The sequence below is a fragment of the Homo sapiens genome, chromosome 5, assembly GCF_000001405.40.
Source record: "Homo sapiens chromosome 5, GRCh38.p14 Primary Assembly".
Classification (NCBI taxonomy): domain Eukaryota; kingdom Metazoa; phylum Chordata; class Mammalia; order Primates; family Hominidae; genus Homo; species Homo sapiens.
This window is the reverse complement of record NC_000005.10, coordinates 98,846,981-98,861,981: the sequence shown is the minus strand read 5'-3', so window position 1 is coordinate 98,861,981 and position 15,001 is coordinate 98,846,981. Positions and strand designations below refer to the sequence as shown.

The window sequence follows — 15,001 nt, the reverse complement described above, 5'->3', positions numbered from 1 at the left end:
TTTCACCATGTCAGCCAGGCTGGTGTTGAACTCCTGACCTCAAGGAATCTGCCTGCCTTGGCCTCCCAAAGTGCTGGGGGGAATTTTTTTTTTATTTTTAATGCAGAAACAAGAAAAAAAAGTACCTTATATTAAGACCTATCATTGGCTGACCCGATCCCCTCAAGAACAGTCATTGTGGGCTGGGCACAATGGCTCATGCCTATAATCCCAGCACGTTGGGAGGCCAAGGTGGGCGCATCACAAGGTCAGGAGATTGAGACCATCCTGGCTAAGACGGTGGTCTACTAAAAATACAAAAAAAAAAAAAAAAGTAGTCGGGCATGGTGGCATGTGCCTGTAGAACCAGCTACTCAGGAGGCTGAGGCAAGAGAATCGCTTGAACCCAGGAGGTAGAGGTCGCAGCTATTTTGCTTTAAGGGATATTTCCCTTTCTTTCCTGAATGAAAGAAGATAGAGATCTAAACCACAATTACAGAACAGTTGGCATTAAGCAAGTGTTACAGTAGTTACCATAATGATCTTTTTGTTTTTTGCTTACAATTTTTTTCAATATATTTTTTGACCAAATTTCTTAAAAACAACTGAAATGCAAGACTAGTTTTTATTTAAAGATGACTGTAATAAAGTGATGGCCAAAATAGAATGTATATTTGTATTTTGTCTTATTAAATATGCCTCATTCTAGCTGATCCTTTTAATAGTATTGTAGAAAATGTGAACAGATATTTACTATTCCATTTTACAGAAGAAAAAAATGGATTCAGATGAAAAGCATTTTAGGGCTGGGACTGGAGAATGACAAAGGAAACACCTAGGACCTGAACTGTTTAAAAGAGGCACTAATTCTTAGGTTTGTGTAAGTGCTGACGCTTGCCTCAGCTCTGGTGCTTTGTTCAAGATCAGACAGTCATTCGGATGATATAATTAAGACCAGAATCTGATTCCTGACTAGATTTTTTGGGGGGAAAATATATTTTTATAAGGAATTTACTTAGGAACAAAAAGGTACTTTATTAACTTCCTACCTTTTACCCTTATAAGTTAATCGTAGAATGTAGATATGTTCGAGATAGTCTGTGAATTTATATAAAGGCTAGATGAATTTTCCTTCTTCTGTGGATTTCATTTCAGTAAGGTATCATTCAATATATTCTCAAAGTTCATTTTAAAAATATATTTCAAGGTAAATATTATACCTCTAGTGTATATTTGAATCTTCTAGGGATACTACCCTAACTTAGAACCTAACATTCCTTTTCTTTTTGGAGGTATATTTGACAATTACAGTTCCTTATATATTTAAGGTATACAATTTGATGATTTGATATACACATGCATTGTGAAATAATTACAGTCTCTGATTAATTACTGATGCCTCCCTTGGGATGGGAAGAGATAGCAAACTGTACCTCATTTATGGTGTTTGGTTGTGTTACTCTTGGGACCATTACATTACCATTATTAAGTGACAGTTAACTTTTTAATGCATTATTTAAGACAATTCTTTACAAGCATAATTCATATTATCTGATGGTATTTCCACTCCAGTTATTAACATACCTGTCCCTTATATGCATAATCAGGATCACAATATGAATCTGAGTCACTTCCTGATTTAATTTATGTCTTTGGTGCATTTCAAATTAGGATTGTACTGCTTTTCACCCTAAAGACTATAAAATGAAGCGATTTGGAAGAGAAGTAAAATTTAATGTTTAGTTTCACTGGAGTCTTAGTCATATATGAAGTTTTGAAAAAATGCATAGGAAAATTAATATCCTTAAGAGTTTGTTCCATAGAGGGCTGTGTATGTGTATATGTGTTTGTGCCTGGAGGGAAGGAGTTCCATGAAAAAAACTAAATATTTTCCACCAGACTAACTTAATTTGCCTTTTTTTAAATTCTTCTAGAAACCTGTGGATTTTTGTATCTAAGTTTACTGAATTTGATGCAAGAAAATTACATAAATTATATAAGCATGCTATTAAAAAACGGCAGGAGTCTCAGGTAAACTTGACATCATATTTTTTCCCTGAATTTATATAATTAAAACCTTGAGACATTCTTTTTACAGAGCAGTTTGATTAATAAATACAGAATGAATAAGATAAATTTAAAAAATCACCATTGAACACCACAGTAATGATTGTTGCAGGCGAGATTCACAGAAGAGAGGTAAAATTAATGGGCAAGAAAACAGGATATTGGCAGATCTCCTCTGAAATGTTTATTAGTTATAAAGGGAAAATAATAACTTTATAGAGAAACTTGCCTGACCCACCTTAAACAAGTGATCAAAGTTAATGTCACCAATAGTTAAGACATATCAGCATCATGAACCCTCTGATACTGAGAAAGGTACATCACTTATGTGGAATTCTTGCCAAAAATATATGTGTTATTATGTGAAAATATCAGACAAGCCCTACTTGACGGATATTCTATAAAATAACTGTCTGCTACTCTTCTAAAGTGTTAAGAGCATGCAGTAGACTAAGGAGCTGTCCCAGAGGAAGACGTGACAACTAAGTGTAATATGGGCTTCCAAATCGAATCCCCGAGCAGATAAAGAACATTAGTGGAAAAATGTGAAATCTGAATGAAGTCTGTTCTTCAATTAATAGTGTTATACCAATGTTAATTATTTGGTTTTGATCATTATACTATGTTTGTATAAGATATTAACATTAGGAGAAGCTAGATGAAGGGAACTCAGTATTTTTGCAACCTTTCTGTTAAGTCAATTTATTTCAAAATGAAAAAATATCTTTAAGTCATGGGACAAGTAGTTCATGCTTTAAAAATGGAGATCTATAAATGTCATACATGTATATATACACACATAAACATTCTAATATCTTGTGTGAAGACTTCATTATCAGTATTTTCTAAGAATTATCTGTGCTTTTTTGTAAGTTTGTGAAGTCACCTAAAGATTCTTAACACGTGTGCATTTATTTTAGCAAAACAGTGATCAAAACAGCAACTTGAATCCTCACGTGATTAGAAATCCAGGTATGTAAGCCTTACTGATTGGGAAAATAAATTAAAAAAAATTTTTTTTAAATTTTTGTTTTAAATAAACCAAATGATAAAAAAGGTTCTTACCTTGTTTTTATTTATAAGTACCTTTATATTAAGGAGATACAGTAATTCTGATACATACCTACATTATTATGTAAAATGTATTCTCTTAAACTGTAGTTCATTTTAGTTTATTATCCTTTTAATCATCCTTTTCTCAGTTTCTAGAAATTGTAGAATGACTGTTAAAATGAACAAATATTCTTTTTTATGTAATTTGGAATAGTAATGCATTCTTTCTGTATCAGAGTCACAAAAGTATAGTCTGAGAAAGGAATAGGTCCCATATTTTTTAGTTTTTGTGACATTTCAGAATCAAGCAACCTTTTTTAATTAATCCTTAGTACTGCTTTTATACACCATTTCTAAATGCTTTAACTGCTTGTATTTGGGAACCGATTTTGTTTTGGCAAGGGTTGAAACGAATTCTTGTTATCTATCAACTAAGTTTTTTTTGCCACATTATTTTTAAGGTCATTAATAAAAGTTGTACTTATCTAACAGATGTGGAAAGATTAAAAGAGAATACAAATCACGATGATAGCAGCAGGGACAGTTATTCCTCTGATAGACACTTAACTCAGTACCATGATCATCATAAAGACCGACATCAGGGAGATTCTTACAAAAAAAGTGATTCCAGGAAAAGACCCTATTCTTCTTTTAGTAATGGTAAAGACCATCGTGATTGGGATCACTACAAGCAAGACAGCAGGTAAACTTGGCAGTCACTTTAGAAATTTTGCTTATGCATGTTTTTCTCCTTATCATGATGTTCCTGTATTTGACCTGTCAGCCAATTCAATCTTCATGCAGTCAAAACAAATCTTGTGAAATAAAGGTGTTGTATATAATTAAGAAAAATGTATATATTTTAAGAACTGAATTTCTCTATAAAATGGATTTTGAATTATAAAATTGAGATCAAAATATGTAGTAAGGTGATGTAGGGAGTTGTATGATTATAAATTGCGTGGGGTTCATTGTTCGTTTTGAAGAATATTGGCTCAAATACTCTTTAAAATATAATAAGTGGGATAAAAGCTTGATATAATAGTGATTCAGGTTTGGTTTAGGAAATTTTGCATTCCATATTTTTAAAAAGTCGGGAAAAATTAATATATGTGAACACATCTCATTGAGGTAAAACTTAACCTCAGCAATCTGGAATATTATTGGAACCAGGAAGGTTTTTTGTTTATTGTTTTTTGAAGCCTTTGAACAGTAAGCAACCTCAGTGTAATAACATCAGAATACTTTTTATTCCTTTATTGATAAAGAAGTATTTTCGGTAGTTAATGATCACTACTAAAAGTAAACTTGAAAACTGAGATTTATAGTATTTATGCTTTTATAGTAAGTAGAAGAAACAAATTAGAAGACATCTTTGTATTTTAGTGTTCATTACAATAATTTCTTTGAGAACCTCTGTCAGCACTATGAACACATCAGTTGTAGAATGGCTGTTATTTGAAGGGGTCAAATAATTAAAAGGAAAAGGCAGATTTATAGTATATATTTCACAGGCTTATGCAATATAGTTACAGTTGTGTGTGTGTCAGTTTGGAAAAGGCACTCATTTTAGAGAATAATTCTCATTAAACTGCCACATTTATTTTTTATCAAGCTGTCACATGTTTGTATGGAGTAAATTTCGTAATGATTCATGTGTCGAGTCTTACTATATAACTAGTCAAACTTGAGGAAGCTTTTAATAGGCATCAGCAACCAGTGAAAAATTTTTCAGCATAGACTGCATTCTAGCATTTTTAAACTTTTTCCTGCTTAGAGGTTGGTAAAAGGCTCTGGTCTCAGGAGTATTTCAGATAGTTGTAATAATCTTAATTTCAGCTTCCAGACAATTAAGATGCAGTCATATAAATGATGTGTAAAATAAAAAGCAGCTAATTATCTAAAATAGCCATGTGAAATTAGATGCTATTTTAGGGGTTTTGTATGGTTCGCTTTAGTTTTATGAATCAAATAGTTTTTCCAAAGAGATATATCCAGTGATTTTTGAGTTAATTAAGTAAGTTTTATAATGCAACACTGAATTTCTATACAATTAAAAACATGTTTTAAGGTATTTTTATGTTTTTTAGTTATCTTTTATTTGGAAACATTTTAATTTGCATGATTTGTCTAAAATTCTCAATTTTTCTTTATTAGATATTACAGTGACAGAGAGAAACACAGAAAACTGGATGATCACAGGAGTAGAGATCACAGGTCAAATTTGGAAGGAAGTTTAAAAGATAGATCTCATTCTGATCATCGTTCTCACTCAGATCATCGGTTACATTCAGACCACCGGTCAAGTTCTGAATATACGCACCATAAATCTTCCAGGGATTATAGGTATCACTCAGACTGGCAAATGGACCACAGAGCTTCCAGCAGTGGCCCTAGGTCACCACTAGATCAGAGATCTCCTTATGGCTCCAGATCTCCATTTGAACATTCAGTTGAACACAAAAGTACACCGGAGCATACCTGGAGTAGTCGGAAAACATAACAAAAACTGATACTTCGTCTTTCTGGACTTTTCTTTTAGCCATATATCATAAACCAACACAGTAATTGCCTTACATGACTTGAAAGATATAAACAGATCTTCTATCAGTAGCAGTATTGTTACTTCTTTCCAGGATGCAAGGTCTATTATCCCAACAGAAGAGAAAATATTTTTATATTTAAGGATTATGCTGCACTGTACTACAAAATTGTAGTACTTTTTTTTGTTTTCTTTTTTAAAGAAATGGAAAATGTTTACTATTACAGGGACCTCAACACTGCCCTCCCATACAGGCTGGATAAAACTGTTTTTAAGTCAGTGATTTTAGACTGACCTCCATTTAAATTATGTTTATATATGAACTTTACTCTGACCTGTGATCATGTTTCAGGAAGGAATGAAAGAGAGTTCTTTCTTAATAAAGAAAAACACTCAAGGACTTTGTTCATTTCCAAAGCTACTTGTTTACATTGTACACTGCGACCACCTTGCCGCTTTTCATCACAAGCTTGAATATTTAAATTCTGTACTTATATCTGTAAAATAGCCAGGAATTTCCTGTTTGTGATCTATTATGCCTTTTTACAAAAAAAATGGCTGTAAATTATTGTAAATATTAAAGGAACTTTCCTTACTTCCTTCCCTTTCTCAGGCTTTTTTTGACTGTTCCTTTCCCTACCAACTCAGGCCTTCTTATTAAAAAAAAAAAAATCAGTGTAATAACACTTTTTAATGATTTGTCTTGATGGAATCATTGTTTAGAATGTAAAAATGGGGAAAGGGGCCACTTAATTCCATTAGTCCTCTTTTTATACTGAATATTTTATTAGATACATGTTATTCCCTTTTTTTTCCTTTTTTAGTCAATATTGTGTTTGTAGTTTTAAAAAATGGCGAGATATGTAAAATCTAAACTGCATGCTCTGGAAACACTTTTTTCAGATGCATCTGGTTTAAAAGGGTAGGTGTATAAACACTTTTCAGAATCCAAAACGGCCAAAAGTTATTGTAAATCCGTTTGTTTTCCCGTTTTATGTGGGCAATAATGTCAAATGTGCTATGCAGCCAGGTTAACATTTTAGATAAACTTGATTGACTTTTAATATAAACTGTTACAATGCACACTGATTGTATATAAAAACGTTATATATGACAAATTAAATTTAAGAAAAAGGATATGTGGGCTCCTGTAATTTTCTGCTGCATTCTTACTCCCTCAAGCACTTACCACCACCACCACCGCCCCCTACCCCCGTTTTTAAGTAACATTTTGCTGCCAGAAAAAGTATTTTGGTAAGCAGTTGAATATTTGTAATGTGTAGCATTACAACTAAATCTGTTTTGGAGACTATGAATATTCCTATGAAGTAAAACTTAGGTCATAGACATTTTTGTTGGCCCCTTTTGGCTTCCTACAGATATTATTATGGGATGCTTTATATTTATTCACAGATTTTTATTTTGTTTTATATTCAGCGGGAAGTTTTTAAGTCATGTGGCACACATTCTTGCATGTATGCTTTGATGTAACAAATTTGAATCTTTGACGAATATAAGTATGTGGACATAATTTCTATAGTATTGCTATGTGTGTCACTGTTAATTAGCTGTGGGAGCAACCTACAGATATTTGTCCATAGGTGTATTTTTTAATATTTTCCTTTGTCCAATTAGGTTTATGTGTATAAAAGCTTGTGGGTTTTTTTGCTTTTTGTTTTGTTTTTTGCAGTAATTTCTCTTTCTGATACAGTTACCCTGAAGAATAATAATGCTTTGTTTCTTTTCTGGTATATGAGAGAACATGTGAGGGAGTAGCTCAGTTTTTTAAACATCTAATTTATAATTAAATATAAAAGTAATGAAGGTAGTCCTGGCACACATTTTTGAAACTTTTATCACTTTTCTCTACATTTAGTATGACTATTTTATTCCACAAGATAGCATTTGACTAATTCATAATGCTTAAGTCATAAGATGGTGGCTGGCATTTTTTAATTTATTACTAAAAGCTAAGATATTTGCATTATATTGTGCAAATTTCACAGAACAATGTTGCATTTTCTGAGATAAGGCTCTAATTTTTTAAATAGTGCTACATTTAGTTGAAAGTTTCAGTCAGCTAGTTAGCTGAGTTGAATGAAAAATATAGAACTGTATGTACATTTATCAAATGATAAAATATGTTCATTTTTGTAAGAAATCAGAAAAATTAAGACGCAATGGTGAAGAACATTAGTACATAAATATAGCAGAACATTCTCCATAAAATATTCTGTTTTCATTCTGCTTTGTTATTTTTATCCAGTTATGTTTAATTTTTCAAGGGTGAGAGATTATGTATAGTACTGTACCAATTAACCTTCCACTTTTATACAATAAATAATTCTTACTAAAAGCAATAGCCTGTTTGCTTATAAAGATATTCTTTGTTTAGAGTATGTTAGAAATTAATTTTCAGACTATGGAAAATGAGTTTGAATAATTTTATTTTCAGAGTGAGTAGCTTAATGAGAACCTTTTTAATTTTATGTAATATAAATTATAATTTCTTTTTGTAGTTAATATGAAAAGGTTGAGTAGGTTATTCATTTTCATGAAGTTTATCAAGAATATGCTCTAGGAGTAAATGGCCTGATTTTTACTCTACCCCATTACTATTTCTAACTAGAAAATAATCTTTGCACCCCAAATTAGCTGTCATAGCTTTATAAATACAAATAGCTTTATAAATACAACAGCTTAAAAAGGGATAGGGATTTGGAAGAGCAACTAATTTTTAAATACAGGATTTTAAAAAACGACTTTCAGCTTCATAGGAAACTGCAAAAATATTTTAAAATATTTCTGAGTTAATATGTAAAAGCACATTAATATAGATGCCTCTATTAAATATACATTAAATACTCAATTTGAAAATGCAGACAAAACTTAGATACATTTTAGCATTGTACAATAATTGTAGTGAATGGAGGATGTTATAGAGGACACAACTAGATAGTAATGCGACAAATATTTTGAGATAGTGTCAAAATGTGTGTGAAAATTTCTAAGATTCAATTATAGATATTTGGAAGAAAGTTTGAGATTATATTTTCTGACAATAACTAGTAATTGATTTTGTAGAACACTTCATGCTAATTTTCTTTAAAAAATTAGGACCTAATAGGTTGACTCCATTACAGAAATTCATTGAATTCTCATAGGAAGATCTAGGAATAGGAAATCTTAGCTATGGTGTAAAAGGATGAAAGATGAGATTACTGGGGAAAGTAGGATTAATGAAAAATGTTAAAAGGTTGTTCCAAGTACCTATACAAATTCTCTAATGGGGCTTCATGTGCTGGATTTTCTACACTAAAAGGCCACTAACCACTCTGCCCTTTAGCTTAAAAAAAAAATTACATCTATATTTGAAACAAAATTTGTAGTTCCAACTCCCAAATGAATGAAATTATTTTAATTCGATGTTCTACTCCACATTTGAGTCCTGATCTAAATATGAAACTAAAGAGGTATGAACAGTCTAAAACTCCTAATGATTCTATTAAATGAGCTAAGGATATTGTTTCCGTTGGTGATATGCAAACTTTATGTGACTGAAAAATGTGTGATGTATTATCATTTCATTATTGTTGACTAATATTAATTAGATTTCCAATCTAGAATGAGCTATGGAACTGCCACTAGTTACTTTTTTTTATTCCTTCTGTTTACTTTTCAAATCTTTGATTTGTCTCTAGTGTTCTGCAGGCTGACTATATTAAGTCCTGGTGTGGTGGTTTTATTTATTTATTTTTTTTAAATTTCTTTTTTTATCAGCTGTTGCCTCTTACCCACTTCTTTTTACTTTCTGGAATCCTATATCATTGCTATCATAAGACTTAATTTCTGATCTCTCTCTTTCTCAACAGCTGTACTATTTTTCTCTTCCTGTTTCTAGTGCTATCTTCAGCTTCAACCACTACCCTGAACTCATCTCCACTTAGACAGCTAATAGATATGTAATATTAAAATATGTAAAACCAAACTCAACCCTTTTACACTAAGACATTAAAAGTTTTAAAAACTGCAAGGCTGGGTGCAGTGGCTCACTCCTGTAATCCCAGCACTTCGGGAGGCCGAGGCAGGCAGATCACTTGAGATCAGGACTTTGAAACCAACCTGGTTAACACGGTGAGACCCTGTCTCTACTAAAAATACAAAAATCAGCTGGGTGTGGTGGTATGCGCCTGTAATCCCCACTACTCGGGAGGCTGAGGCAGGAGAATCACCTGAACCGAGGAGGCAGAAGTTGCAGTGAGCAAAGATCACACCACTACAGCATGGGCGACAGAGTGAGACTGCCTCAAAAAAAAGAGAAAGTTTTAAAAACTAGGGTCTTTGATAAATGCATTCACAGCTTTCTGCCTAAGGCACTTCTTAGCTATTTCTGTTCTTTTTGCTTCACTTCAGCCACTCCTGTCAATGCAAAGAAAATACTTCTTGGCCTTTGCATTATTGTCCCTCTATTAAAAAATGCTTGGCCGGGCGCGGTGGCTCACGCCTGTAATCCCAGCACTTTGGGAGGCCGAGGCGGGTGGATCATGAGGTCAGGAGATCGAGACCATCCTGGCTAACAAGGTGAAACCCCGTCTCTACTAAAAATACAAAAAATTAGCCGGGCGCGGTGGCGGGCGCCTGTAGTCCCAGCTACTCGGGAGGCTGAGGCAGGAGAATGGCGTGAACCCGGGAAGCAGAGCTTGCAGTGAGCCGAGATTGCGCCACTGCAGTCCGCAGTCCGGCCTGGGCGACAGAGCGAGACTCCGTCTCAAAAAAAAAAAAAAAAAAAAAAAAAAAAAAAGCTTATTTGTGACTTGTACAAAACTCGTTTCCTCAATTCAGGTTTCTTTCAGCTCAAATGTCATTTCAAGTCTTGAAATTAGTACCCTGCCCCATCATTTTTAAAAATCCCTTATCTTGCATTTTCTTCTAGCATTACCACAGCTTATATATTTGGTTCATTTGCCATTGACTGCTTCCCCACTAGAATATAAGTTCCATTAGGGCAGGGACTTTATTTTGTTCACTGCTATATTCTCAGTACTTAAAACAATGCCTTGTATCAATTATATTTTCATTTTTTTTAATGTCCTTCCCGGAAATGCTATGCCCTATAAATGGCCAACATTACCAAACTTTTTGTCTTACCGTTGTTAACCTGATTTGTTAGTATTGGAAATTATCGTATGCCTTACTATCTCATGGATTACTTGAGTCTGTTTACTAACTTCCAGTTTTTAAACTTGACTGATAAAAATCACCGGAGGTACTTGAGAAATATAGAAAAACATAAGCCTCATCTCTAGGAATTAAAATGGCAGGGAAATGCTCCAAGTAATGGGGCTTTAATATCTCTTTCATTTACCTGAATAATTAATATAGAGGTTAATTCCACTGTTATAAATAATACAGTAATGCTTAAATGAAAAACTGGTTTCTGTAACTATATGGCTACTTAGGAAATATAATTGATACTTTGCGAAGAGATATGCAGAGATGTGGTATATAATAGGAAAATATAAAACATTCTGATTTGTCTATTGCTTTACCTTTCTTATGAACCTTCTTCATTATTATTTTTTAAATTAGAAGTGAAGTCTTGCTATATTGCTCCAGGCTGGTATCGAACTCCTGGGATCAAGGCAATCTTCCTGCCTCAGCCTCCCAAGTAGCTGGGATTACAGACTCAAGCCACAGTGACTGGGTTGTCTATTCCCTTATCTTTCGAAAGGAAATATGTTTTTAGGTATCATGATACACTATCTTTCTTAACGCACAAGAACACGACTTGTAAAAACACTAAGAGAAATATGTTGTATTTCCAATGTTTTTAAAGTAAAATTGCAAAAGCAAAAAATATCCCCTCTCTTGCTGTTACTTGCTAGGTTTTTCCCATTAAGAAATTTACATCATGTTTACCCAAGTTAAATTCACCTTCTCTAGGTGTACAGCATGATGAGTTTTGACAGATTATGCAGTTGTTGTAACTATCAGCGTACTTAAGATATAAAATATTTCCATCTTATCAAGTAAATTCTCTTTTGCTCCTTTCCCCTATACCAAGCCCTTGGCAATCACTGATTTGTTCCTATAGTTTTATTTTTCCCATAATGTCATATAAATGGAATCATATTGTATGTTGCCCTTTGAGTTTGCCGTTTGCTTAGCATGATGCTTTTGTAATTATCCATGATTTTGCATTTATCAGTAGTTCATTTCCTTTTATTGCTGAGTGATCCTCCTTTCCCAGGTTGGAGTGCAGTGGCACAATCATGGCTCACTGCAGCCTTGACCTTTTAAGTATGTCTGTGATTCATTTTGAGTTGATGTTTTGTATGTTGTGTGGAACACACAAAGTTGTGGGTTTTGTTATTGCTTAAATATTATATATCCAATTTTTTCAGTACCATTTGTTAATAAGACTATCCTTTTTCCACTACATTTCTTTATTATTTATTTATTTATTTTGAGACGAGATCTCACCATATTGCCCAGGCTGGTCTCAAACACCCATGCTCAAAGCCGTCCTCCCAACTAAGTCTTTCAAGTAGCTAGGACTATAGGTGAATGCCACCTTGCCTGGCTTATTTGATTTTTATTGAAAATCAGCTGTTCATATATGTGTGAGTCTGTTTCTGGGCTTTCCATTCTGTCCCATTAATTTATATTTCTGTCTTTATGCCAACACCACACTATGGTGATTACTGTAGTTTATAGTAAACCATAAAATCAGGTAGTCGTGAGTCCTATTTTGCTTTTTAAAAATTGTTTTGGCTTTCTCTTTATTTAATATTAAAAAAATTGGATCTCAGGCCGGGCGTGGTGGCTCATGCCTGTAATCCCAGCACTTTGGGAGGCTGAGGCAGGCGGATCAGAAGGTCAGGAGTTTGAGACCAGCCTGGCCAACATGGTGAAACCCCGTCTCTACTAAAAAAACACAAAAATTAGCCAGGCATGGTGTTGTGCGCCTGTAATCCCAGCTACTCGGGAGGGTGAGGCAGGAGAATTCCTTGAACCCGGGAGGCAGAGGTTGCAGTGAGCTGAGATCATGCCACTGCACTCCAGCCTGGGCGGCAGAGCAAGATCCATCTCAAAAAAAAAAATTGGATCTCAATGAACTACAATGTTTTGTTCTAAATTAGAAAGCATGCTGGGATTTTGAGATTGCATTGTTTACATAATCAATTTGGGAAATACAATTTAACAATATTGAGACTTCTAGCCCATGAACACAAAATATGTCTACATTATTTAGGTATTTTGATTTTTCTTATCAGCATATAGCAGTTTTTTGGTGTATGCAATCTTGTAACATATATTGTTACATTTATCTTTGGTAAATTATATTTTTGTGCTATTTAAATTTTTTTATTTTCAGTTTTTAAGTGCTCATGTTTTGGATTTGACCTTGTGTCCTTTGACCTTGTGTCCTCTGATCTTGCTCAATAACTCATTGGGTCTAATAATTTTGTTCCAGATTCTTTGAGATTTTCTGCATAAATGATCATGTCTTTAGTGAAAAGTTTTATTTGTGCCTTAGGTTCTTCTATGCACACGATCACATCTGCAAATAAAGACAGCATTAATTCCTCTTTGCAATCTGTATACTTTTTTTTTCTTGCTTTACTGCACTAGGTATGACCACCTATACCATGTTGACATGGGGGAGAGGTGGAGAGTGGATATCCTGGCTTATCCCTTATCTTACAGTGGAAGCATTTAGCCTTTCTTCATTATTATCTTAGCAGTTAAGTTTTTTAATAGATGCCTTTTATCAGGTTTTGTAATTTGCCTTCTACATTTTTAGAGAAGTTTTATCATAAATGTTGTCTGTTGAGGTGATATGTTCTTTCACCTTAACTTTTAAATGTCTGTATGTTCTGTAGTGATCTTTCCTTTTTTTTTTTTTTTTGTTTCTGATATTAATCATTCATCTCTTTTTCTTATTCAGCCTAACTAGAGGTTTGCCAATTTTGTTGATATTTTTAAAACCAGCTTTTGATTTTATTTTGTATTGCTTGTCTTTTTATAAATATATATATTTTAAGGCTTATTTATTTATTGAGACACAGAGTCTTGCTTTGTTGCCCAGGCTGGAGTGCAGTGGTGCCATCATGGCTCACTGTAACCTTGAACTCCTGGGCTCAAGGGATCCTCCTACCTCAGCTTCCTAAGTAGCTAGGACTACAGGTATGCACCACCATGCCCAGCTAATTTTTTTGTAGAGAAGGGGTCTCACATGTTTCCCAGGCTGGCTTTAACTCCTGGCCTCAAGTGATCCTCCTGCCTCAGCTTCCCAAAGTGCTGGGATTATAGGCATGAGCCACTGTGCTCAGTCTAAAAGTTTTAGGTTCATGGCAAAATTGGGAGGAAGGTACAGACATATACTCTCTAGTCGCCACGCATATATAACCTCCCCATAAATGGAGTATTACATTTGCTTACAATTGGTGAATCTGTATTGACACATCGTCACCCTAAATCAATAGTTCACTCTTGGTGTTGTATATTCCGTGGATCTGGATAAATGTATAATGATATGTATCCTTCATTACAGTATCATACAGAGTATTTCCACTGCCCTAAAAATTATGTGCCCCTCCTATTAATTCCCTCTCTCCCTCAATCCCCTAACTTATGGCAACCCCTGATCCTTTTACTGTCTCCATAGTCTTTACCTTTCCAAGTGTCACAGTTAGAATCCTATAGCATGTAGCTAGACTTTTCAGATTGGCTTCCTTCACTTAGTTATAGGCATTTAAGTTTCCTCCATGTTTTTCATAACTTGCTAGCCCATTTTTTCTTAGCACTGAGTAATATTCTGTTGTCTGGATGTACCATAGTTTTATATATCCCTTCACATACTGAAGGACAGACATCTCGATTGTCTTCAAGTTTTGGCCATTATGAATAAAGCATCCATGTGCATGTTTTTGTGCAGACATACATTTTCAACTCGTTTGGGTAAATACCAAGGAGGGCAATTACTGGATTACATGCTAAGAGTATGTTTACTTACAGAAGAACCTCTCAAACTGTCTTCCAAGTGGCTATACTATTTTGCATTCCAACCAGCAGTAAATGAGTTTGTTCCACATCTTTGCCAGCATTTTGTGTTGTCAGTGTGCTGGACTATAGACATTCTAATGGGTGTTTAGTGTTATCTTGTTTTAATATGCATTTCCTTGATGACATATAATATGGAACATCTTTTCATATGCTTATTTGCCATGTGTACATCTTCTTTGGTGAGGTGTTTGTTCAGGTCTTTAATCCCCCCTTTTTAGAAAATTGGGTATGTTTTCTTACTGTTGAGTTTTAAGCATTCTTTACATATTTTGAATAACAGTCTTTTATCAC

At 33.9% G+C, this 15,001-nt stretch overlaps 1 protein-coding gene across 10 annotated transcripts in view; it reads left to right on the top strand.

Moving 5' to 3' along the window:
* CHD1 (chromodomain helicase DNA binding protein 1) overlaps positions 1-7,997 on the top strand; it is a 75,023-nt gene extending 67,026 nt beyond the window's left edge. For 7 of the 10 annotated variants that reach the window (NR_157079.3, NR_157078.3, NM_001376194.2 and 4 more), the window contains 4 exons: positions 1,914-2,010; positions 2,967-3,018; positions 3,592-3,802; positions 5,257-7,997. Coding sequence is in view for 8 of the 10 variants with exons in the window: in NM_001376194.2 (NP_001363123.1) it covers positions 1,914-2,010; positions 2,967-3,018; positions 3,592-3,802; positions 5,257-5,602 (706 nt within the window). In the remaining 2 variants the exon portion in view is untranslated. Of the gene's footprint in view, positions 1-1,913; positions 2,011-2,966; positions 3,019-3,591; positions 3,803-5,256 lie in introns of those variants that run through there. The other 3 variants (XM_047416670.1, XM_024454345.2, XM_047416672.1) reach the window with 2 other exon arrangements.
* Positions 7,998-15,001: the final 7,004 nt, after the last annotated feature.